This window comes from Homo sapiens, chromosome 6, assembly GCF_000001405.40.
Source record: "Homo sapiens chromosome 6, GRCh38.p14 Primary Assembly".
NCBI classification, from domain to species: Eukaryota; Metazoa; Chordata; class Mammalia; order Primates; family Hominidae; genus Homo; species Homo sapiens.
Genome location: NC_000006.12, coordinates 8,611,360 through 8,638,304, shown reverse-complemented (window position 1 = coordinate 8,638,304; position 26,945 = coordinate 8,611,360). Strand labels below are relative to the sequence as shown.

Genomic DNA, 26,945 nt, shown 5'->3' with positions numbered 1-26,945 from the left:
TTTTTCAGCTGTCAAAAGAAAAAAAAATTTCTGCTCCTGGGCAGACATCTGACTGTGCAGCCGTTGCAGAGAGACAATTTAGTTCAGAATTATGTGCCACCCTGACTCTACCTGGCAGGTGCCTTCTGTGCTAGCTCTTCTATCTGCAAACTTGAGAAAGATGACAGGGTTTTAAATGATTAACTCCTCTGGGCCACATTACTTAATTATACAGTACATCCAGGGATAGGCACATGGGTCTTTTATGGTAAATGATATGACGGTCTTAAAAACTCATTAATATGTCATTAACCAAGCAGACATTTACTAATTAAACAATTAGCCCCTCTGTTCTATTCCTTTGTTCCTCCCAGAGATGCTCGGTTACCCAGATCCCCAATTTAGCAGAAGTCCCCCACTTCTTTTCCCAGAGAAAATCACTCGTAAAGCAAACTCAGAGACTAAATGATTTTACCAGATTTTTTTTTCCAAGTTGGCTACGAAGACAATCAAAGCTGATTTCCATAGCATAAATGAATGTGGATGTTGGTCTAGTTTAAATAAATCATCTTGATATGTAAACCAATTTTAGATATATGTGAAATAGCATCCGCCATAACTGGTGTAAATACTGAATATAACAAAACTACATATTCCCAGTTAAGTAAATACAAACAGACAAGATTAATGACTTGAGATGTATTAATATGATTCATCACAAAAAGTCAATACCAAAGAAATGTGTAATGTTCTTAACTTTGTATCTCAGAAGGTTTTTAATATCCATTATGCTTTCAGCTAATTTTAACTAAATCATATTTGTTGCGCTGAAACTATGCTAAACTGCGGCACAAGGGGGATTATTCAGAATATCAAAATATAACATCGCAAATGTCTTCTGAAACAAATGTCTTTTGTATTTTAAAAAATGAAACTTAAAGGTTTTAAATTCGGATTAGAAATTCTCTAAGAACATTCAGAAGTATTAGAACACATGCATATTTTTTCAGCTACATTTTGGTTCTCTATTTTATGATTCAACTTGACAGTTACCTTTGTCAATCTCCTGTTGACCTAAAGTAATGAACACTGGCAAAGGATCAAAAGCTGGGTAATAACTGGGATGGTCCAGAGATGATTTAAAAAAACAAAAAACGCTGGAATTGCTGGAGCTTAGATGACCACATTCTCATGTGGCATGATCAGCTCCAAGTTGATCAACTATTTTTGGTTTTTCTAGTTTGTCTATTGGCTTTTCTTTCTGCCTTCCAATGAGGTGATGAAGCTGAATGAGAATTAACACAATGCCAGAAATTATACTAACAGCAAAGTATGTCTAGTTAAGATTCTCAATAGCTCTAATCTTGTGGAGGACCAGCAAATGGATTATCCACTCCATGAAATGGGTATGCAAGGGGTCTCAGGGTAGTTGGAGCACTGTACCCAGGAAATTAATTGCTCCAGAAAAGCCCACTTCATGCAGACAACACTGGTTCTTAGACCAGAAACAGCTCTACAGTGAAGCTAATAATGCTTAAGCTTCAGGACCCCTCAGTGGCCCAGGCTCTTGCAAGTACTGGGAGCTAGTACTTACTGGTTGGGCAGGGGAAGTCAGGCAACAGTTAGGAAAAACTCTTTATACATTGCCACAAGTGATTTAAGAAGGAAGAGGCATGGATCTCCAAAGCTTCTGTTACATGTTCACATTTCTATTCCCATTCTACATAAATATTGACTTTCATATTTATTTATATTTAAACTTTTCAGTACCTTTTTAAAGGAGAACTCAAATAATGTAAGCTTTGGGATGCACAAACGTGGATCTCCTAAGTTAACTGATGTGTTTGATGCTGATATTAAATAACGGGCTCTGATTATCTATTGTAAGATGCTATTTGATGTAGCACAAAGTTGAGGAATATTAATTGATTATGTGAGTGTTTAAGGGTATTCTGCAAAAAGCATCATTATATTTGTGACTTTCTGCTGGCAGAACCAGATTGGAAAACTCTCAATCCACACAGAAAACACTGGGCAGAGGAGTGGAGGATCTGGCTCTTCTCGTCTGTGCAGCACTAAGGGACTGTGTGGCCTTGGGAAAGTTAGTGTCTCTGGCCTTCACCATGCTCACAAATAAAAACAGGGAGGAATGGAAAGTGGACTAGATCCTTGGTACTCAAAATGTGGTCCAAGGAAGTGCTTTAGAAATGCAGAAACTGAAGCCCCACCACCACTCCCCTAGACCTCCTGAATCCAAATCTGCATTTTATCAAGATCCCCAGGAGATTCATATTTGCCTTGAAGTTTGAAAAGGGCAAGTACAAGAATGCCCCTAATACCCCTTTCAGGTCTAAAATCCCAGGACTGAAGTGTAGGAGGGCACAGAGAAATCAACCGAAATATTTAGGAAAAAAATATTAAACTCTTGCTCAACTTTACCTTCTCCTCACTATCCTTTTATCCCCAACCACTCACAAATTTTCTTTTTATCCTCCAGTCCAATCATATTTTATCTATCATTCATATTATTTGGTTTATCTAATTTCTTAGAATAAATTCACTGAGGAATTTCAGTTTTATTTAATCATAATTGTGTTAGTTTTTTTCTCACACTGCTATAAAGACATACCCAAGACTGAGTAATTTATAAGGGAAAGAAGTTTAATGGACTCACATATCCACATGGCTGGGGAGGCTTCAGGAAACTTACAATCATGGCAGAAGGTGAGAGAGAAGCAAAGGCACGTCTTGCATGGAGGCAGGTGGACAGCAAATGAGGGGAGGGGGAAGACCCCCTTATAAAACCACCAGATCTCATGAGAACTTACTCACTATCACAAGAACAGCATGAGGGAAACCACCCCCATGATCCAATTACCTCCCACCAGGTCCTGCTCTTGACAGTTGAGGATTATGGAGATTACAATTCAAAATGAGATTTGAGTGGAGACACAGAGCCAAACCATATCAATTATGACCTTTCACATGTTGCTGAATGTTTGTGCTCTCCCAAAATTTGTATGTTGAAATCTCCCAAGGTGATGATAGTAGGAAATAGAACCTTTGGGAGATGATTAGGTCACAAGGACAGAGCCCCCATGAAGGGGATTAGTGCCCTTATCAAACAGGCCCAAGGGATCTCATTCATCCCTTCCATCACGTGAGGACACACTGAAGAGAAGATGCCATCTACAAGGAAGTGGGCCCTCACTAGACTATTCCAGCACCTTGATCTTGGACTTCCCAGCCTCCAGAATGGTAAGAGAGAAGTTTCTGTTGTTTATAAACCACTCATCAATGCTGTTCTGTTTAGCAGCCCAAAAAGACTGAGACATGGATGCAGTTCAAAGTTTTGAAGATGCAAGAAATAAATAAAAATTATATACTGTCTTTAATTCAAAGTGATTTCCTATAAATACCAAAATACAAATTATAATTCAGTTCATTGATTATTTTGTCATGTCCTTTGAAACTTTCCTCTTTTTAAAAAATCTATGTGATAATTTCTCCAACTTTCAAGGGAAATTACATCAAAAGGCTTTCACAGTAAATCAGGCTGGGCGTGGTGGCTCATGCCTGTAATCCCAGCACTTTAGGAGGCCAAGGCAGGAAGATCGCCCGAGGTCAGGAGTTCAAGACCAGTCTGGCCAACATGGCAAAACCCCATCTCTAATAAAAATATGAAAATTAGCCAGGCATGGTGGCGCACACCTATAATCCCAGCCACTCAGGAGGCTGAAGCAGAACCACTTGAACCCCAGAGGCGAGATTGCAGTGGGCCAAGATTGCGCCGCTGCACTCCAAGCTGGGTGACAGCAAAACCTCATCTCAAAAAAAGAAAAAAAAAAGAAAGAAAGAAAAGGCTTTCACAATAAATCAAAGTAAAAAACATTGGTGGTGAAGGTTTGATAGTATGGCCCAAGTTTTCTGGATATTGACATAAAGCTGCCCAGTGACAAGCCTTCTTATAAACACTACTCAACTCTACAAGGCCACTGGCATGTATTTGGGTTAAAGAACTCTGTGAGACACACAAACTATATGTTTATAAGAAATTTTTAATTGAAAACGTATGCCTACATGAGATTGTATTCCTTGTTTATGAAACTAAAAGGTATTTACCTGTACAGGTTGCTATACTTGCATTACGTGCAAATAGACTTAGAGATAATTTAAAAGTTCTAAGTAGTGTATACTTTGAAAAACTTTGATCCCTAAAGAGAGAAATAGAAGTCATCAATAAACTTGGCTCTGACTTTGCATTAGTCATGGATTCAGAGAATCATGAGCTCAGATTCCAGTAAATACCTGTACAACAGGAGGAAAGCCATTCAACATTTCAACACTGGGAAACATTTGCGTGAGAAAGTTTTTCACAAAGGGAAGATCAATCCCCCCTCCACTAACTGAAAACAAAATTAATTACCACAGTTGGCAGGAGATAAATGGCTTCAATGCACAGAATTGTGTAATTACAGCAGCTGCAAAGCTGGAAACCCGTTCCTAACTTTGAACCTCAACCTCGACTTGACATTTCTCCCCATGTTCAGCTGTGCCACTAGCAAGCATATTCAAAGTTCCTTCATCCTGCTTCCATAATTATATGTTGGGGTGCAGAAGTAATCATTTACTCCATTGCCTACATGAACCTTATCATCCTCTGCTTTGCAAAAGGTACGTTGTATCATCTTTTAAAGTGTTGAAATCTCCAGAGAGAAAAATTTATTAGGAGAAAGTTACTGGTATGGCAGCAAAATTAATTCTGCCAGAACATGTCAAATTAACCACCCTCCTAAGGACTGGAGTCACAGCCAAGCTCAGAAATGGACAAATATCCAGGATCAATTTCTTCAATGTCACTTTAGGTTTGAGTAAAGCCAAGGTAAGCATCGCGATCTATCTCAACATTCCAATGTTTAGTCCAAAACAACACTGGCTGGAAAACAAGAGGTTAAGAACTAAGGAAACACTTCAAGCAATTCCTTTTTTCCCTCCCCCTTTCCAAGCAGCAACAAAGGTTGTCAGTTAGGCTCTGTGGAGATTTTGGTTCTCCCTTTGAAGCAAAGAGAAAAGTTTTTAATCTCATCTTTAATTTTAATCCTTTAAAATATGTAAGTGATTTAGAAATGTACAAGTTAAATTTGGCAGAGGAGCCTACTGGTAGAGAAGTAAAGCAATTTATTTCAACTTTGCAATAATAAAATAGTTCAAAGCTGGCCACCTAAACTATCCAGATGCGTCAGCCACAGGCTGCAATCTACTGATTTTTAAAATTCCCCTTATCAAAAATGCTTAGAAGAGCAAAGTATATGGTACAAACAAGGGGAGTGACAAGGTAATATCAAAGAAACATGCTCATGCTTGAAAATGTATTTACATATTGGTTTGTTTCTCCTGCAAGGGAAAGAAATCTCCATAAGCTTTTCAGAAAGTTTTTCTTATTCGAAGGGAGTTTTATCATTTCAGAGTAATACATTTACAGGTTGCTATATTTAGGGATTCAAGTCATTCATTTTTGATGTACAGCTATATACTCATAGGATTCTCATGTGATTTACATCAAGTCAGAGATGGTAGGTCTTGCTTAATGGTGGTATACTTGTGCCTGACAATGGTTTTTCAGTTACTATTTCTACATTTTAATAAACACTCCTCACTTAGCAGAATAAAACAAACACCATTATAATGGTCACGAATTCTGTGAATCGGATTTGGAGAGTGTGCGGGAGGGATGGCTTGCCTCTGCTCCATATCTGGCCACTCAAGTGGGGAGATTCAAGACTGCAGGCAATGACTAGTCATCTACAGGAGGAATCCCCAGTCTCCGGACACAAACCTATACTGGTCTGTGGCCTGTTAGAAACCAGGCTGCACAGAAGGTGAGCAGCCATCAGTTGAGCATTACCGCCTAAGTCTGCCTCCTGTGAGATCAGTGGCAGCATTAGATTCTCATAGGAGCCCAAACCCTATTGTGAACTGTACATGCGAGAGATCTAGGTTGTGTGCTCCTTATGAGAATCTAAGTAATGCCTGATGATCTAGGTGGAACAGTTTCATCCCAAAACCAACCCCTTACCCCCAGCCACCTCCAACCCCCACCCCTGTCTGTGGAAAGGCTGTCTTCTACCAAACTGGTCCCTGGTGCCAAAAAGGTTGGGGGCCATTGATCTAGAGGATCATGAACACGTATATGCGGTGACTGAGCATCATCTAGACCTCAGTTAAGACTATGGACCAGAATACCTACATGTGGCTTCTCCATTGATTTCTTGGGCTTCCTTTCAATATGGTGGCTGGATTTTAGGTTGTGATCACAAGAGAGAGGAAATGGAAGCTGACCATTTCTTAACACCTGGACCCAGAAACTGGCATGGCATCACTTCTACTACTGATCAAGCAGGCGCAGAGTCCAGACTCAAGTGATATATACCACATCTCACAATTAGAGGTGTCAAGGATTTGTGGACCAGAGTGGTATGCTCATGTCCTCATCAAAGACCTAATTGTTGGCAATTACTTTGGACCTGTTCTGCCCATTCCAAGTAACTTTGGCTCTCTAATTTCTACCCAAGTTCTCATTGCCCATAACTATAAAGCTATAGCTCTTGCCTCCTGCCCTGTTCTCATCATTTTTTACTTCTTTATTGTCCACTCAGTTCACAACCTGATGGCAAATCTCCAATCCCCTGCTCTTGCCTAATGGGTGCTGGTCATTAAGCAGGGGGATGATGCTGTTTGGTGGATGAGCAGAAAAAGGACTATGGGCTATGCTGAAGTGGAAACTGGAAGGAGAATAGCTAAGGGAAGGTAGTAGAAAGCTTTTCATAGTCACTAAGGTCTAACACAGAAATCATTCCACTGACTTCTGGAAGGAAGCCAATACAAATCTAGCTTATCTTTTAGTGTTAATTTATTATAAATTCAAGTGTTAACTGGCCCAAACAAATCATTATTGCCAATTTTCATACAGCAAAAACAATTAAAATTTTAATGACAATCATATAGAAATAGCAAAAGCTCTAAAGATGTCATTTCCAACATCTTCAGATGGAATTTCCCATGGCAACCAAATGGAAAGTGATAAAAATTGTTTAATATAATTAATATGTATGTCTTACATGGAAATGTATAGCACTAAATCAGTGAGAACAATGAGACTGTATTTTAGAAATAAAATTAGCAATTGAAAGATAGGGATCAGCCACGTAAACCTTACCTACGAGATTTTACTCGTTTTTATGCTTGCTTGTTTTCTGTTTTTTGCTTCACTTTTTGTTTTGGAGGGTTCAGTTATTCTTGTTGTTGCATAATATTTTAAAAAATACTTGCACACTTTTAGAAGAGTGGATACAAGATTTTAAGCTGATTTACTTAAATTTAATTATGCAATATAATCTCCATTTAATAGATATCCCATCAGTTCCCTTTTAAATGCCAGCCTGATGTTTCTTTTGAATGTGATCACATGCAGGTGACTGGAGATGCACGTCAGCTTTGCGTGGGTTGTATTTGAGGCTATATGCTGAGACTTTGGATTTAAGAAGTTCTCAGTAACATCTGAGATTCTATGATCACCTACCTGTCTGTTAGGTTTCAGTACACTAGAAAGTGAATTAGCTGGGCATGGTGGCTCACATCTGTAATCCCAGCACTTTGGGAGGCCACGGCAGGCAGATCCCCTGAGGTCAGGAGTTCGAGACCAGCTGGGCCAACGTGGTGAAACCCCATCTCTACTAAAAATACAAAAATTAGCCAGGTGTGGTGGCAGGTGCCTGTAGTCCCAGCTACTCGGGAGGCTGAGGCAGGAGAATCACTTGAACCCGAGACGTGGAGGTTGCAGTGAGCAGAGATCATGCCACTGCACTCCAGCCTGGGAGACAAGAATGAGACTGTCTAAAAAAAAAAAAAAAAAAAAAAAAAGAAAGAAAGTGAATCAACCCATCCAGAGCTACGATACTTTGGGGGAAAGTGGAGGGAAGTGAAGGAAACTGTCCTGTAGGACTGGATAAGCCAGATGGGAGCCAAATATCCACAGCTCAGGGTGAGTGCACTAAACTGAAAACTTCTAACAAACTCCTTAGAAACATTGTAAAATAGAGATCAATGTTAACTAACACTTCATGGAAATCTCATGTCTTGAGAAAGCAGAGATTTTTCTTGATGGCAAGAGAAGCTGGGCAGCAGATAAGCTTAGGCCACTTGAAGGTCTCTGTACTGTTCCATCTGCAAACATGAGATCCAGGAGATTCAGCTGTTACCATGGTTTTAGAACTTTTGTAGAGTCTTGAAGGAGGTCATTCCAGGGATGAATGAAAGATACATTGATCTTTGACTTAAAGCATGCCACAGAAATATAGGGATTGAGAGCCTTGGAAGTGGACAAATGCCAACATTAGGAATCGTTCACGGAATCAAAGTTCTGAGGCCTCCATTCTCTGGCAGATTACCCTACTCTCCTAGATAAAACACATGGCAGAGTAAAGAATCCCCAGGATATATAGGCCAAGAGATAATTCTGTCATTGGCAGTTAGATAGAAGGTCAACACAGAGCATCAGGAGACCACATGGCCATATTAAAGCATCTTGGATGTCATCACAAACCAGGATCAGGGCTGTATTCTGTTATTGAAGCTAAATACAGAAGAGAGGGTGGGGAGGGATGGAGACAGAGGGTAAAGCAACTGTACCAAGGCTCTTCTGTGACACCATCATCATTCTCTTAGCTCTTGATGTTGAATGTCTCCAGGGTCTTTCAGATAAGGCCTTTCTGAAGGCCCCAGCATCCTTCAGAAGAGGGCTTCAGACTTTTTCTCCTATTTATTAATGCTTAGTACCTAGCTATTTAGGCACTTCACATTTTTTCTCCTATTTATTAATGCTTAGTATTTCACTGACTCCAATGGCTTTATAAGATGAAGACTCTCAAGTTTAGAACACCAATCCAGACCCCTTCCTATGCTCTAATCTCATATGTTCAACTGCATAATCAATATCTCTACCTGATGCTTAATAGGCATCTTGAAGTCAACATTGCCAGAAATAATACAGTGGTGACTCCTTCTGAGATCCGAGGCCCAAAAGATAAAATCCTACGAGATGAGGATAATTAGGTTCCTCATACTCTACTATACATCTCTAAGCAAACCCAATGTTTGGAAAGTGTGCCCACAGATTAGCTTATAGACATCAGGATCCACAAAATTGCTGTGACTACTTCTACACTCTTGGACTCCAACTATAAATAAATGACAGAATGCCAGACTGCCCAAGATCAGGGAATAAAGGAGACACTCCCACATTGCCTTTATATGTGATTAAGATGTCAGGTTTGTTGACCATACTCACTACAGGCATGAACAATTCAAGTGGTACAATATGAAATAGCACAGTCATAATAAATGCCATGCAATGAATTCTCATAAGTATCCCTTTGCATGACTTTAGGCTAACATAAATGCTGAAGCAATGGCTAATATTCAGTACAGCTGAGATATTTCCTGGCAGCTGCTGAAGAAACATGGAAAATGGACCAATAAGAACAGGCTGAAGAAGGCTGAAGTCAGCAACGAGGATGATAATTTATCAGAATATTTGGTACGTGACAACTGTTATAAAAGGTAAGGGCATGTACAGTTAATTCATCATTCAGCAATTTGATCAATGAAAGAGAAAGAAAGGAAGAAAGAGACAGAAAGAGAAGAAGGAAGGGAGGAAGGAGAAAGAAAGAAAGAAGGAAGGAAGGAAGGAAGGAAAGAAAGAAAGAAAGAAAGAAAGAGAAAGAAGGAAAGAAAGAAAGAGAAAGAGAAAGAGAAAGAAAGAGAAAGAAAGAGAAAGAAAGAAAGAAAGAGGAAAGAAAGAAAGAAGGAAGGAAAAGAAAAGAAAGAAAGAAAGAAAAAGAAGGAAGGAAGGAAGCAAGGAAGGAAGGGAGGGAAGGGAGAAAGAATCAAGAAACAATGTATCTGAAATATCAGTAAGGTCCCAATAGGTGCTCTGTCCTAGTCAGTTTGAGCTGCTGTAACAGAACACCATAGACTGTGTGCTTAAACAATAAACAGTGATTTCTCACAGTTCTAGAGGCTGGGAAGTCTCCAGGCATTTATGCTCAATCCTTGTACTTTGCTTCTTGGACTGCCCCAGCATCTCAGAGTAAATTTCTGCCTTTGTTTCTTAGCTAATTCTTACCAAATTCTACAGAAAAGTCAAGAACAATGAGGACAGAAGAAAGAACTAAAAAGAATACAATTATTGATGACTGTGATCCCAGCAAAATGCTGAGTAAATTAGACTGAAATTTCAAAGGATTAAAATAAAGATTGTTAGAGGATGAATAGAGCGGGTTGAGAACATTTATTTAATACATGTCAGCAGTTAAAGCAAAATGAAATAAAATGATGGCTAGAAGAGGCAGACTATAAAAGGAAGAACTGTTTAAGAAAGGAGAGCCTGAGTGTTTGAAGGCAAGGAGAAAGGAATCGCTGTAATGAGAAAGACTTAAATCACAGTCAGGGGAAAAAATGAGCTTCAGAGTGAGATACCTCAAAATAACAACTGGACAGAACCTAGGACACAAATGGGGAGTGTTTGTTATAGTGAACAGGACTCAGCATGAGAGCTTAGCACAGAGGAAGAGATGAGTAAGAGAAAGAGATGAAAGTGGATGTTTCTGCAATGACTAGGGTTGGACTGTGAGAAAGAGGAAGTAAGAGTTAGTTTGGAACAGGGCCACAGGTGAAAGCAGTAAGGAATCAGAAGGAATAAATAGAAGAGCTTCCAAGAAGAAGCAAGTGCCAACATGTAGCTGGAAACAACATCTGCCATTTAAGTCTACATTTTTCTAGAAACAGAATTTAAAGCTATAAGATACCTCAGGAATGTTTTTATTTTTCCTAGTGATAATCTATGATCTAAAGAGAGGTGTGAATAATGTATATTTAAGAATTATTTTAGATTGGGGGGTTGATGTTGAAGGCTTATCTAAAATCAAGAGACTTCAGGAGTCTAGACTGATGTGTATGAGCCACTAAAACTAGAGACAGCCTCATCATTCAGCTGGGGAAAGATGATGTCATCAAAAGACATGAAATACTGGGGCAAAATAAAATAAACTAAAAGGGAGTGTGGATCAGGAGAGGAGAGATACTGAGAGTTAGGTTCAATGGGGATAAAGAAGAGGGAGACATGGCAAGCAAAACAGTGTGTCTGCAATGAGCCCACCAACTCAGATTTCAGCGGTATATGATGAGCAATTCCAGAGCATGGCAGCTAAACAGGGAGAGTGGAATGCTGCGACTGTTGATACTATGAGTCCGTAAAGCTTGCTTGATGAACTTTCAGTAAGAAAGCCAATGTCACTGAGAACAATGATCAGAAAGGAAGAATAAATGAATCAAATATTCTAATAACAACTAAGGAGGGTAAAGTCTGGAACAGACTCAAGGTTGACTCCCATCCGTTCCACTTAACAGTTATCTTTGGACAAGTTATTCAACATTGTGAGCTTCATTCTCCTCTGCTACAGAATAGAAACAATAAGTAGACACCTCTTAAGTATCATGATGAATAAATAAAATAAGGCACGCCAAGAGCTTAGCATGGAACCAGCGCAGAGTAACTCCTCAGTAAATGCTAGGAAATACCATTAGAAGGACAAAAATCAAATGCGGGGAGCCCTCCAGGGCAGCTAGAATGATTAAGAAAGGAAGCATAAAGAGGCATCTGGAAGACTTTGAAAGATAAGGAATGATGGATAGCTGGCAGTGTTCTGGAAAGATCCATCAAAAATGGCAGAGGGAAGGGCATGTGTCTGTTAAGACATGAGAACAAAGGAAAAAGTGAAAATGAAAAATGGGCTCAAGAGAGACAGAATTTCCCCAGTAGCCAATCAAAGACTTTGTAAGTCACAATCAAAAGAAGTAGGGGAAATGAGGGGGAAAGTATAAGGCAGTGGTGAACGCCCAAAGAAGAGATGAGCAGGAAAATGTTAGCTGTCGCGAGCACTGGAAAAGACTAGACGTGTCTAACTCCTCTCATCGTCAAGACCCAGAAGACATCTCCGCTAAACAAAAGGGGGAAAAACATCTGCTTCTCAAAGACAAAGGACCTGAATGTTTGTGTTCTGTTATCCCAAGAGCCAAGAACATGAAGTCAGGTGTGTGATGTTCCCCTTCCTGTGTCCATGTGTTCTCATTGTTCACACCGGGGCCTGTTGTGGGGTGGGGGGAGGGGGGAGGGATAGCATTTGGAGATATACCTAATATTAAATGAAGAGTTACTGGGTACAAGCACACCAACATGGCACATGTATACATATGTAACTAACCTGCACGTTGTGCACATGTACCCTAAAACTTAAAGTATAATTAAAAAAAATACACCTATTATAATAAAAGATTTTACTCTCCTGGAAAAAAAAAAAAAAAAAAGAACATGAAGTCAGAAAGAAAGATCACATAAGACATCATCGCATATGTGCTCACTAAGACCAAATAAGCTTTCACAGAAGTCTCATCCTCATAACTAGAAAAACACTACGTAGACCATTTTATGTTGCTTTTTTTTATTTCGTGTCTTTATTTTTCTGTCACCATGCTCAGGCCTCTCAAACATGTTTAAATAGTTGTGGTTTAACATTAATGAGGTACATGATCTTGATCTGCTAATGATACAGATTATGTTTTCCACCCCAAATATTGATTATTGTATGATGTAAGTAGTATTGTTCTGTTAAAATGCAGAACAGGTGAAAGCATCTTCCTACAGAATTCATAAAAATGTGAAGAATCTATGTGAACTATCTCTACTATTAATATCCACCAACCTTAGCTACAAATTCATCTATTTCTATTTTGGTATCTTCCATCATCCTTTTATCTTCCACTTCAGAATAAACACTTTTAGATTTTACTGGGCTACAGAACTTTTATTTTCTAATCATTCACTGCCATCCAAAAACAAAAGTTACCGCATGTTTTATAGTACATCACAATGGTGTTTGTGAGATTATACTGGGAAAACTGGAGGAGTGGGGGGAGGGTTCTATCTTTAGGCCATATCATTTACATATGAGAACCTAATACTATTTAAATAAGTGAAAATCACAGCCTTCCAACACAAAACCAGTTATTAAAACATTTCCATAAGCAAAATATTGAATCTTAAACTGAACTTGCACAAAATGGAAATGGACAGAAGGGCAGGTCACTAAAACAGTATTGTTTTAATCTTTTCCATGATCCTTTATATCCATGGATTTCTCTACATTCTCCCCTGTATATTTTATAAAAATCACTTTCAGGTTTATGGAAAATGGAGCACAAAGTGAGCAGTTTTTTAAAAATGAGTTGCATGGAAGAAAGAACAGCAACTAAGATTTTTGCGATTAATTTGATAGACTTCCAGTAGGAAGTATTTAGTTTATCTGCACATATAAAATGAATATTAAAATATTCATACCCCAAGGCTACCAGCAAAAGTAGATAACAGCTGTTGGTCTAAAATGTGGTTTCATTATGCAGAGATTGGAATAAGCTTGTAATTATGAATTAAAGCTGGAGCAGTTAAAAAATGTTGAGTAGATTTTCTAACCTCAACATTTAAAATCAGTTTTCTGTTAAGAAATAAAGTGTTCACAGCAATGGGCTTTCAAGTGGTATCAGCAATAGCAGACTTGCTTTTGCTCACCTCAAAGAAAAAAATGCAATAGATCCTTCACGTAAATTTCTTAATGATTTTTTTCCTAAAGCAGGTTTGATTATCTTATACTGAGTCCATATTCCAAACAAAACTCTAGTTTAATATTTGTTTTAGACCTGAAGACCCACTAATACAAGGAAACAAGGGTTTAAAATGTATTTTGGTTAATAATGCACATTATGAGTTTTTTATGTGTATGTATTCTTTTCCCTGGGACATGATACCACTACAACAGATAATATTTTTAAGGTAGTTACACTATCAGATTAACAAAATGAAGTATTATAAATAATATAATTTTCTTATTTGAAAATCACTGAAGTTAGAAATATATTTTTGATTGCATTCTGGTAGTAAAAAATAGGATAATCTCTTTTCCTATTGTTCAAGTAATAATCCACTGAGAATTGTGACTTTAGTTTAAAGCAATGTAAATAATATAAACTCTCACGCACACACACACACCCAACATAAACAAATTATATGGAACAGAGTAAAGCATGGATTTTCTCTCTCACTGCTCCCCTATTACAATCTGTTAAAAAACAGGATGGATTATTACTGGAAAGAAAAAGACAGACTATGACTGAACAATATGAATAGTGACTAAGAGATGCTTTTACCTTATTGTGACACATTTCGTTAAGAATTACAAAGCATTTTAAAAATACTTTCTTAGATTAAGTGTTATTATCTGTTCTTCAAAATGAAGAAATTTGGCTTCAGAAATTATGTACTAGACCCAAGATGAGTAACAGTTAAGTACTACAAAAAAAAAAAAAGATAAGAAACTAAGAAACTCTGTGTCCATTATTTGCTGTGACATTAACTTTCAGCTAAATTATTTGCGTCTTGGCACAATGAATCACATTTCCGTGCTACTTTTTCCTTTTAATACTATACTAATATTCTACCTTTCTGACTCTAAAATGTGCCTAGAAAATGAAGGGGAGAGTTAACACTCTAACTCTCCTCTACACATTCCACCTCCCTGAATCAGATGCAGGTAGGACAGCAAGGCAGACAGCACAGAACCTCTGCAACTGTTCCCGTAGCTCCAACCAGCACCTTGAGTTTTGAGCTGCTCATGCAGAAGGAAGGGAGAACAGAAACAATGATCTGAATCACATTTTTAAAAAATCAGACTATTTATTTTAAAATAATCTTAATAGTATAGCTGAATTGGAAAACAGAAAAAGAGAAGTTCATCTTTGTTATACTTTATGTTTGACAGCTTTAAACATTGTATGCCAGGCCGGACATGGTGGCTCACGCCTGTAATCCCAGCACTTTGGGAGGCCGAGGCGGGTGGATCACCTGAGGTCAGGAGTTTGAGAGCAGACTGACCAACATGGCGAAACCCCATCTCTGCTAAAAATACAAAAATTAGCTGGGTTTGGTGGTACGCACCTGTAACCCCAGTTACTCGGGAGGCTGAGGCAGGAGAATCTCTTGAACCTGGGAGGCAGAGATTGCAGTAAGCCGAGATCATGCCACTGCACTTCAGCCTGGGCAACAGAGCGAAACTCCATCTCAATCTCTCTCTCTCTCTCTCTCTCTCTCTCTATATATATATATATATGCTGTGAGTGTATTCACTCTGTTCCTGGAATGGAACAGTGGTAACAGAGCATCCAAAGATGAAAGACAAACCACGCAATGGCAAAAACCTGCCATTCTCCATGGAGCTCCAGTAATATATTCAATAATTTGTGTAGACAAACAGGCTTCTAAATGCCTTCCTTGAATAAATGATAACCATGAAAACAAATTGACCTCAAATATTTAAAAGTAACCTACTACTTTATTACCAATGTATCAGCAGATAAAAATAATTGCTTATCATAAAGATGACTTTCCAGTTATCCTTAACAGGAACCAAGAGAAACTTTGATGAGTGTAATCAATCTAAAATCTGTTTTTATGCTCATCCTAACAGAAGTTGTAATGCAAAAATTAGAATCTAAATATTTCTTAGATATAAAAACTTTTATAGCTGAATTATAAGTGAACATAAAGAAAAAGAGAGTATATTTCCTTCCCCAAAACTCAAATAAATAAACAATAAAATAGTTAACATAAGTATATAATACTTTGATGGTTTACATTAGATAATCATGTTAATGTTTTAATTAGAAGCTCATGGGTAATATTAAATACAAATGTAAACATTAAAAAATTTTCTAGTTATATTGTGGTGCCTTTTTTCCTGAGATAAAATGCCAATATAAAGGTAGTAGATAACATTAAAAGAAACATCAAAAATGTTGAAAAGAATTTCTTTTTCCTTGCAAATGCCAACACATAATTATATGGCAAGAACAGAACTTGTGTAATTTTTTATATAAAATAAAAGAAAAAACACCTTGAGAAATAACATCAGCCCTTAGAGCATCTAAATACGGTTTAACATCTTTGAAAATACCACACAAATATTAATTAATCCTCACTTAAAAATGGAGGTAGATAAGCATGATCATCACCCTCTGATGAAGAAATAGACAGTGTGGTCAAGAGTCTAGCCCAAGGACTTAGGCTGGGGTCATCTGTCTTCAAAAGTGTGTAACTCCAGAAAAAATCAGGAGGGAGAAGACATACTTCAGATTGCAGTTGTTTCTAAAACATTAGGGTTTCTGTTTATGGCCTGAATCTCACCCATTTATATTAATTGAACACCTTTCTTTAAGGATAGCACTCAGCCACACAGACATCCTGCGCTCTTTTAATTGAGCCCCTTTGGGGGAAAGTATCGTTTAAATATAACAATATATTCAGAACCCTAAAATAATTTGATCTATAATAAATTCTTAAGCAAGAGAGGAAGACCAGCCTGGGGACCCTGGGAGGGGAAGATTGCCAGGTACGAAGTCAGAGATTCACAAGGAAGTTGTAGAAGCTCCTTCCCTGGAGACTTTTAAAAATAGACTAGACAGCCCTCTCCATACCTTGGTGTAGGAGGCCCCATTATACTTTGCTATTAAAGAACTTCACTATAGGTTTCCTTAGACTTGATTTTTTAAAAAGGGAAGAAAAAAATGGGAGGAGGGGAAGGGAAAGCCACCTGGTGTGAGGAAAATTCAGTTTAATAAATGCCTTTGATAGTTTATTATAATATGAATTCTCTGATTTTCACGCTGATTTTAAGGATAACATCTTTAAGGGATTTAGATTCTGATATCTACTAGGTTTCTCTGCTTTACATTTTTATTACTATTTTGTTCACTATATATTGTGCTATTTTTATAACTTCAGTATATACCAGGTCAAGCAGAAATTGGAAGTTGTGTGGATATTTTGTATTTTTCCCTATTTTAATGCCATAATTCCCAATATAATTGAATATATATGAAAACACACACCCCTAGATATATAAAATATAATAATAACTTTTCAGGAGGAACAATCAGCATTTTAAATATATCTATCTTCTAATTAATAAACTATGGAATATAGTCATCACAAATTCCACATACCTTTCACCTTCAATTATGATTGAAGTTTGAGACACATCTTTTTCTTATTAAAAAAAAAATAAAAGAAAGAAAAAGAAAATGCTTCTGAGTTCATTCTGGATACTCGAATGTATGCTGAGCATTATGGAAACGATATTTTTTATCACCCACGCTCAAAACTTTGACAACTTTTTTACCTTTATGATTGACAGTATGTATTTGAGGCCTTTTGAGGACTACGGAGATTCTTCTGCATTAACTATTTGGTTATACTCATCATTTCTTTCTTAATTGAGTTACCCATTAGCATTTAGATAAGCTTCTCTTGAAAGTAAACTAGATGCTTTGGACAGATAGTGTTAAGCAGCTGAAAAATAGTATTCATTTGACTATGTCACAACTTCTAGAAAGTTCCACAAACTGTTCTAAAAGGTTTGGCAATTATATTACTTTCGTAAGTTTCTGCATATAGTATTTTTTAATACCCTATGATGCTGCAGCTGAATCATAGAGTAATCTTTCTGAAAATACTTCAAAAACTCCATTGGGGTCCAAATTCAAGCTAAAATTCATTATGGAGCAACAATGCAAAAAATAACATAATATGTCCACCAGCTACATCATAATGTATAAGTACATTGTAACGTAATTTCCCACCTAGCAGCTGACAACACTTTTTATCCTAATTGTGAATTCATCTATATTTAATAAATATTAATCAAGGACCCAAAACATGCTACCCATTACAGAGATTTCAGTAACATTTTAAGCTTTCCAAAGCATCACACATATTTATCCTTGGTATTAGTTTTCTATTGCTAATGTAACAAATTACCATAAACTGGCATCTTACAACCTAAGAGTGCTAGAAGTCAGAAATCTGACATGAGTTCCACTGAGCTAAAAATCAATGTGCTGGGGTGGTGGCTGGCAAGATGGCCAAATAAGAAGAGCTCCGGTCTGCAGCTCCCAGCGAGATCAATCCAGAAGGTGGGTGATGTCTGCATTTCCAACTGAGGTACCTGGTTCATCTCACTGGGACTGGTTAGACAGTGTGTGCAGCCCACGGAGGGTTAGCCGAAGCAGGGTGGGGTATTGCCTCACCCAGGAAATGCAAGGTGCCGGGGAACTCCCTCCCCTAGCCAAGGGAATCCATGAAGGACTGCTATCTAGCCCAGATACTATGCTTTTCCCACAGTCTTCACAACCTGAAGACCAGGAGATTCCCTCGGGTGCCTATACCACCAGGGCCCTGGATTTCAAGCACAAAACTGGGCGGCTATTTGGGCAGAAACCGAGCTAGCTTCAGGAGTTTTTTTCATACTCCAGTGCCGCCTGGAACACCAGTGAGACAGAACCGTTCACTCCCCTAGAAAGGGGGCTGAAGCCAGGGAGCCATGTGGTCTAGCTCAGCGGATCCCACCCCAACAGAGCCCAGCAACCTAAGATCCACTGGCTTAAAATTCTCGCTGCCAGCACAGCAGTCTGAAGTAGACCTGGGACGCTCAAGCTTGGTGGGAGGAGGGGTGTCCACCATTACTGAGGCTTCAGTAGGCGGTTTTTCCCTTGCAGTGTAAACAAAGCTGCCAGGAAGTTCAGACTGGGTGGAGCCCACCGCAGCTCCACAGAGCCACTGTAGCCAGACTGCCTCTCTAGATTCCTCCTCTTTGGGCAGGGAATCTCTAAAAGAAAGGCAGCAGCCCCAGTCAGGGGCTTATAGATGAAACTTCCATCTCCCTGAGACAGAGGACCTGGGGGAAGGGACAGCTGTGGGCACAGCTTCAGCAGATTTAAACGTTCCTGCCTGCTGGCTCTGAAGACAGTAGCGGATCTCCTAGCACAGCACTCAAGCTCTGCTAAGGGACAGACTGCCTCCTTAAGTGGGTCCCTGATCCTTGTGCCTCCTGACTGGGAGACACCTCCTAGCAAGGAGAGCTCTGGCTAGCATCTGGCAGGTGCCCCCCAGGGCAAAGTTTTCAGAAGAAGAAACAGGCAGCAATCTTTGCTGTTCTGCAGTCTCTGCTGGTGATACCCAGGTAAACAGGGTCTGGAGTGGACCTCCATCAAACTCCAGCAGACCTGCAACAGAGGGACCTGAATATTGGAAGGAAGACTAACAAACAGAAAGGAATAGCATCAACATTAACAAAAAGGCTATCCACACAAAAACCCCATCAGACAAACAGCGGATATCCACAAAGGGAAACCCATCAGACTAACAGTGGATATCTCTGCAGAAACCTTACAAGCCAGAAGAGAGTGGGGGCCCATATTCAACATTCTTAAAGAAAAGAATTTTCAACCCAGAATTTCATATCCAGCCCAACTAAGCTTCATGAGTGAAGGAGAAATAAAACCTTTAACAGACAAGCAAATGCTGAGAGCTTTTGTCACAACCAGGCCTGCCTTACAAGAGCTGCTGAAGGAAGCACTAAGCATGGAAAGGAAAAACTGCTACCAGCCACTGTGAAAATGCCAAATTGTAAAGACCATCGACACGCTGAAGAAACTGCATCAACTAACAGGCAAAATAACCAGCTAACATCATAATGATAGGATCAAATTCACACATAACAGTATTAACCTTAAATGTAAATGGGCTAAATGCCCCAATTGAAAGACACACTGGCAAACTGGAGAAAGAGTCAAGACCCATTGGTGTGCTGTATTCAGGAGACCCATGTCACGTACAAAGACACACATAGGTTCAAAATAAAGGAGTGGAGGAATATTTACTAAGCAAATGGAAAGCAAACAAATTTTTAAAAAAGCAGAGGTTGCAATCCTAGTCTCTGATAAAACAGACTTCAAACCAGCAAAGATCAAAAAAGACAAAGAAGGGCATTACATAATGGTAAAGGGATCAATGCAACAAGAAGAGCTGACTATTGTAACTATATATGCACCCAGTACAGGAGCACTCAGATTCACAAAGCAAGTTCTTAGAGACCTACAAAGAGACTTTGACTCCCACACAATTATAGTGGGAGATTTTAACACCCCACTGTCAATATTAGACAGATCAATGAGACAGAAAATTAACAAGGATATTCAGGACTTGAACTCAGCTCTGGACCAAGTGGACCTAATAGACATATACAGAACTCTCCAAATCAACAGAATATACATTCTTTTCAGTACCACATCAGACTTATTCTAACATCGACAACATAATTGGAAGTAAAACACTCCTCAGCAAATGCAAAAGAATGGAAATAATAACAAACAGTCTCTTAGATCACAGTGCAATCAAATTAGAACTTCGGATTAAGAAACTCACTCAAAACCACACAACCACTGAACAACCTGCTCCTGAATGGAAACTGAACAACCTGCTCCTGAATGGCTACTGGGTAAATAACAAAATTAAGGCAGAAATAAGGAAGTTCTTTGAAACCAATGAGGACAAAGACACAACTTACCAGAATCTCTGGGACACAGCTAAAGCAGTGTTTACAGGGAAACTTATAGCACTAAACACCCACAGGAGAAAGTGGGAAAGATCTGAAATTGACACCCTAATATCACAATTAAAAGAACTAGAGAAGCAAGAGCAAAAAACTTCAAAGGCTAGCGGAAGACAAGAAATAACTAAGATCAGAGCAGAACTGAAGGAGATAGAGACATGAAAATCCCTTCAAAACATCAATGAATCCAGAAGTTGCTTTTTTGAAAAGATTAACAAAATAGATAGAACACTAGCCAGACTAATAAAGAAGAAAAGAGAGATGAATCAGACACAATACAAAATGAAAAAGGGGATATCACCACTGATCCCATAGAAATACAAACTACCATCAGAAAATACTATAAACACCTCTATGCAAATAAACTAGAAAATCTAGAAGAAATGGATGAATTCCTGGACACATACACCCTCCCAAGACTACACCAGGAAGAAGTCGAATCCCTGAATTGACCAATAACAAGTTCTGAAATTGAGGCCGTAATTAATAGCCTAGCAACCAAAAAAGCCCAGAAGCAGACAAATTCACAGCCGAATTCTACCAGAGGTATAAAGAGGAGCTGGTACCATTCCTTCTGAAACTATTCTAAACAATAGAAAAAGAGGGACTCCTCCCTAACTCATTTTATGAGGCAATCATCATCCTGATACCAAAACCTGGCGGAGACACAACAAAAAAAGAAAATTTCAGGCCAATATCCCTGATGAACATCGACGTGAAAATCCTCTATAAAATACTGGCAAACCAAATCCAGCAGCACATCAAAAAGCTTATTCACCATGATCAAGTCAGCTTCATCCCTGGGATGCAAGGCTTGTTCAGCATACACAAATCAATAAACATAATCTACCACATAAACAAAACTAATGACAAAAACCACATGATTATCTCAATAGATGCAGAAAAGGCCTTCAATAAAATTCAGCACCCCTTCATGCTAAAAACTCTCAATAAACTAGGTATTGATGGAATGTAACTGAAAATAATAAGAATTATTTATGACAAACCCACAGCCAATATCACACTGCATGGGCAAAAGCTGGAAGCATTCCCTTTGAAAAGCAGCACAAGAAAAGGATGCCCTTTCTCACCACTCCTAGTCGACATAGTATTGGAAGTTCTGGCCATGGCGATCAGGCAAGAGAAAGAAAGAAAGGACATTCAAGTAGGAAGAGAGGAAGTCAAATTGTCTCTGTTTGCAGATGACAGGATTGTATATTTAGAAAACCCCATCGTCTCAGCCCAAAATCTTCTTAAGCTGATAAGCAACTTCAGCAAAGTCTCAGGATACAAAATCAATGTGCAAAAATCACAAGCATTCTTATACACCAATAATAGACAAACAGCCAAATCATGAGTGAACTCCCATTCACAGTTGCTATAAAGAGAATAAAATACCTAGGAATACAACTTACAAGGGATGTGAAGGACCTCTTCGAGGAGAACTATAAACCACTGCTCAAGGAAATAAGAGAGGACACAAACAAATGGAAAAACATTCCCTGCTCATAGATAGGAAGAATCAATATCGTGAAAATATCCATACTGCCCAAAGTAGTTTATAGATTCAATGCTATCCCCATCAAGCTACCAATGACTTTCTTCACAGTATTAGAAAAAACTACTTTAAATTTCATATGGAACCAAAAAAGAGCCCATATAGCCAAGACAATCCTAAGCAAAAAGAACAAAGCTGGAGGCATCAAGCTATCTGACTTCAAACTCTACTACAAGGCTACAGTAACCAAAACAGCATGGGACTGGTAACAAAACAGATATATAGACCAATGGAAGAGAAAAGAGGCCATAGAACAAATGCCACACATCTACAACCATCTGATCTTTGACAAACCTGACAAAAACAAGCAATGGGGAAAGGGTTCCCTATTCAATAAATGGTTTTGGAAAAACTGGCTAGCCATATGCAGAAAACTGAAACTGGACCCCTTTTTTACACCTTATACAAGATGGATTAAACACTTAAACATAAGACCTAAAACCATAAAAACCCTAAAAGAAAACCTAGGTAATACCATTCAGGACATAGGCACGGGCAAAGACTTCATGACTAAAACACCAAAAGCAATGGCAACAAAAGCCAAAATTGACAAATGGGATCTAATTAAACTAAAGAGCTTCTGCACAGCAAAAGAAACTAGCATCAGAGTGAACAGGCAACCTATAGAATGGGAGAAAATTTTGCAGTCTATCCATCTGACAAAGGGCTAATATCCAGAATCTACAACGAACTTAAACAAATTTACAAGAAAAAATCAAACAACTCCGTCAAAAAGTTGTCAAAGCATATGAACAGACATTTCCCAAAAGAAGACATTTATGCAGCCCACAAACATATGAAAAAAGCTCATCATCGCTGGTCATTACAGAAATGCAAATCAAAACAATAATGAGATACCATCTCACACCATTTAGAATGGTGATCATTAAAAAGTCAGGAAACCACAGATGCTAGAGAGAATGTGGAGAAATAGGAACACTTTTACACTGTTGATGGGAGTGTAAATTAGTTCAACCATTGTGGAAGTCAGTGTGGCGATTCCTCAATGATCTAGAACCAGAAATACCATTTGACCCAGCAATAACATTACTGGGTATATATCCAAAGGATTATAAATCATTCTACTATAAAGACACATGCACATGTATGTTTACTGCAGCACTATTCACAATTGCAAAGACTTGGAACCAACCCAAATGCACATCAATGATAGACTGAATAAAGAAAATGTGGCGCATACACCATGGAATACTATGCAGCCATTAAAAAAGATAAGTTCATGTCCTTTGCATGGACATGGATGAAGCTGGAAACCATCATTCTCCGCAAACTAACACAGGAACAGAAAACCCAACACCACATGTTCTCACTCATAAGTGACAGATGAACAATGAGAACACATGAACACAGGGAGGGGAATATCACACACCAGGGCCTGTCAGGGGCTGGGGTGCTAGGGGAGGGATAGCATTAGGAGAAATACTGAATGTAGATGACGGGTTGATGGGTGCAGCAAACCATCATGGCACGTGTATACTTACGTAACAAATCTGCACATTCTGCACATGTATCCCAGAACTTAAAGTATAATAATAATAAAAAAAAATCAATGTGCTGGTAGGGCTGGCATTCCCTTCTAGAAGGTGTAGGGAAGAACCTATTTCTTGCCTTTTGCAGATTTTGGAGACTGCCACATTCCTGGGCTGGTGGCCACCTTCCTCCATCTTCAACAGTGATCCTCAACCTTTCTGCACTAGCGACCGGTTTTGTAGAAGACATTTTTTTTCACAAACGAAGGCAGGGTGGGGATGATTTTCGGATTATTCAAGTGCATTATATTTATTGTGGACTTTATGTCTATTATTATTACATTGTAACATATAATAAAATAATTACACAACTCATCATAATGTAGAATCAGTGGGAGCCCTGAGCTTGTTTTCCTGCAACTAGACAGTCCCATCTGGGGGTGATGAGAGACAGTGACAGCTCATCAGGCATTAGATTCTCATAATAAGCACACAGCCTAGATCCCTTGCATCCACAGTTCACAATAGGCTTCATGCTCCTGTAAGAATCTAATGCCATTACTGATCTGACAGGGGGCAGAGCTCAGGCAATAATGAATGATGGGGAGCTGCTATAAATACAGATGAAGCTTTGTTCACTCACCCACTGCTCACGCCCACTGTGTGGTGCAGTTCCTAACAGGCCATGGAACAGTACTGGAGCCTGGGGAACCCTGATCCTCAAAGGGCAGGTTGAGGCCTTCTCAGGTCACTTCACTCTGACCTGCTCTGCCTCCCCTTTCACTGTTAAGAACTCTGTGATCACATCTGATCAGCTGATTAGCAATCTTAATTCCATATAGGACCTCATTTCCTCTTTACCATGTGATGTAACAGAGTTGCAGATTCCAGGGACCGGGATATGGACCTTTTAGGGGGAGGGAAGCAATTATTATCCCTACCAACTTCTTAATCTGAACTACAGATTTATGATAAATTCCCCCATTCCTGAAAAGTACTGAAAAAATGCTTGAAACTGTATGCAACCAGGAAGGAGGGGGATGCCGGCTACATCTTGATACAGCATCTGCATCTTGTAGTGCACTAAGGGGAGGGAGAGGAGACGGTGGCAGAGGCAGAGGCTGGTATCTAGCCCTTCTGGGCATCACAGCACAGTACTGAGTTCCTGGAAGCTCTAGCGCTCAAATTAAAATGTGGCCATCCATGTTGTTATAACTTATATTTGCCAAGGTAGGAGGGTAGAGCATGCAGTAAGTAGTCTCTTGGTATCCATTTGGGATGAGTTTCAGGAGCCCCTGTAGATACCAAAATCTGTAAGTGCTCAAGTCCCTGATAAAAAATGTAGAATTTGCACATAACCTGCACATATCCTCCCATATATTTAAATAATCTCTAGATTACTTACAATACCTAATACAATGTGAATGCTGCATAAATAGTTATACTGTATTGTTTAAGGAGTCATGACAAGAAAAAAAAACTCTGTACAGGCTCAGTACAGATATAACCATCCTTTTTTTCTTCCAAATATTTTCCATCCGCAGTTGGTTGAATTCACGATGTGATGGAACCTAAAGATATGAAGGGCCAACTGTATTTGAGAATTTGTTAGTTTGATTTATTTCTTTTAAGTATTTATGCATAGGGTATATGGATGTCCATTGGTACACTCCTGCCTTGGGTCTTCAAAATACCAGAGGCCAGTCTGTCTCAGGTATCCTCATTCTGATACTTTAATTCAAATTAAATTTGCACATCTATGAAACAAGTTAACATCTCCCCAGAAAACAGTCTGCTGCCAAATACTAGGATGTATTTAATTTCTTTTGCCTTAATTTGAATTATTCTCTGAGACTACCAGCATTTGTTAAACTCAGTGTTTGAAGGACTTGGATGATTTTAACTTCATTTTCTTATTACTCATGTGTATGTCTGTCTAAATAAGGGTTCTGAGTTAGCTTATATATAATGGAAAGCCAGGGGAAACCATGAGAACTCTGGGGACATAGGATGAGCTGAGCATAAAGGTTCTCGATAGAGAATCTAAGAGCAGGAAAAATAAGTAGGGTCACTCCAAGTAATGATAACAGATTTTGATCATGTTTTGCTGGTAGAATTATGACATAAAATCTGGAGAATCCAGGAATTTTACATAGGTGTTCCTACTGATTCATTTAGTGAACAAAATTTTAACTTGGCAAAAAGTATTTGCAGAAATGCAAATTCAAGGTCTTCTTATAATAAAATATGAATCTGAAATTTCATGGGACATGCTAGGACATGACCAACAGCAAGTCTAATCAACGCTGATCATGTGGACTAACACCATCTCTGATAAATGGGCATCAATCTCTAATTGAAGACCAATCTTATTTTTAATATATTGCCTCACTGTTACTACATATTTAGCTATTTGTGTTATTGAAAACAAAACAAAACACAAAAAATTCCAGGTTGTTTTCTTACATCCAACCTCTTTTTGGAGAGGAACTCTGGAAAAAATTAACATATTTCTAATCTCTTATTGATTATGACTTCCACTGGTTATGGATAACAATTACATGAAGTTGACAAGGTTCATTCCTATTAGTTTGAGCCATAAAAAAATCAATTAGTCTTTGTTTTGTATAACTATTTTATAAACATACTATTGGATTGTTCTTTCCTGTAAGATTGTTTGATTATGTCTTCTGCCAAAGAATGGGGGGAAATTAATTACCTTAAAAAATTACTGAATCTTAAGAAGTATTTTACAAAATGCCATTTTTTTACTTAATAAAGGGCCAGCTCATATTTCATGAGTTTCCATTCATCTGACAGAGCTGTGGTGTTTGTAATTGTGTATATAAAGTCATCAGTCTTCTAGAACCATCTTTAGCTGAGCAAGCCCCAAAGCATGGTCCATTCTGCTCAGATCTGATCAGCATCTTTATAGCATATCAGCCTTGGGGTTCAATTTTGTTTTGGATGCTTTTATAAATGAGCACAATCACTAGTGAATCTGTTCTTCCAGATTGCAAAGAGAAAAATTGAGAGAGGAACTTTAGTAGATTACTGTGTCATTGAGAATAAAATACAAGCACAAATGCACCTAATGTAGTCTCAGGGATGATTTTGTCGGGTGTACATTTTCAGTTTTATTTCAGTAAAATTAGATGATTGTCTTAGTTATTATCGTTTTTGAAATTATGCGCTAACCCCAGGCTAGGGGTATGATCAATGCGCTATCTAAAAAAATCAATTTGTTCCAAAGTACTATGTTTTTCTTAAAAGGAAGGAAAGGTAAAAGAAAAGAGAAGCAGCAAT

General features: G+C 38.5%; 1 long non-coding RNA gene across 2 annotated transcripts in view, besides 2 other annotated features; it reads right to left on the bottom strand.

Moving 5' to 3' along the window:
• Positions 1-26,945, bottom strand: part of LOC100506207 (uncharacterized) — a 349,823-nt gene that overhangs the window by 147,141 nt on the left and 175,737 nt on the right. The gene's annotated exons all lie outside the window — the stretch shown is intronic.
• Positions 9,925-11,124: an enhancer, noted in NCBI's record as "P300/CBP strongly-dependent group 1 enhancer chr6:8627414-8628613 (GRCh37/hg19 assembly coordinates)". NCBI's record gives its function as "activates an origin of replication core promoter dependent on BRD2, BRD4, P300/CBP, MED14 and CDK7 cofactors, with strong dependence on P300/CBP, by STARR-seq in HCT116 cells {active_cell/tissue: HCT116}" and the evidence as "EXISTENCE:reporter gene assay evidence [ECO:0000049][PMID:35650434]".
• Positions 18,135-18,807: an enhancer, noted in NCBI's record as "H3K27ac hESC enhancer chr6:8619731-8620403 (GRCh37/hg19 assembly coordinates)". NCBI's record gives its function as "activates a minimal SCP1, AML or CMV promoter by ChIP-STARR-seq in naive H9 embryonic stem cells {active_cell/tissue: H9 hESC(naive)}" and the evidence as "EXISTENCE:reporter gene assay evidence [ECO:0000049][PMID:30033119]".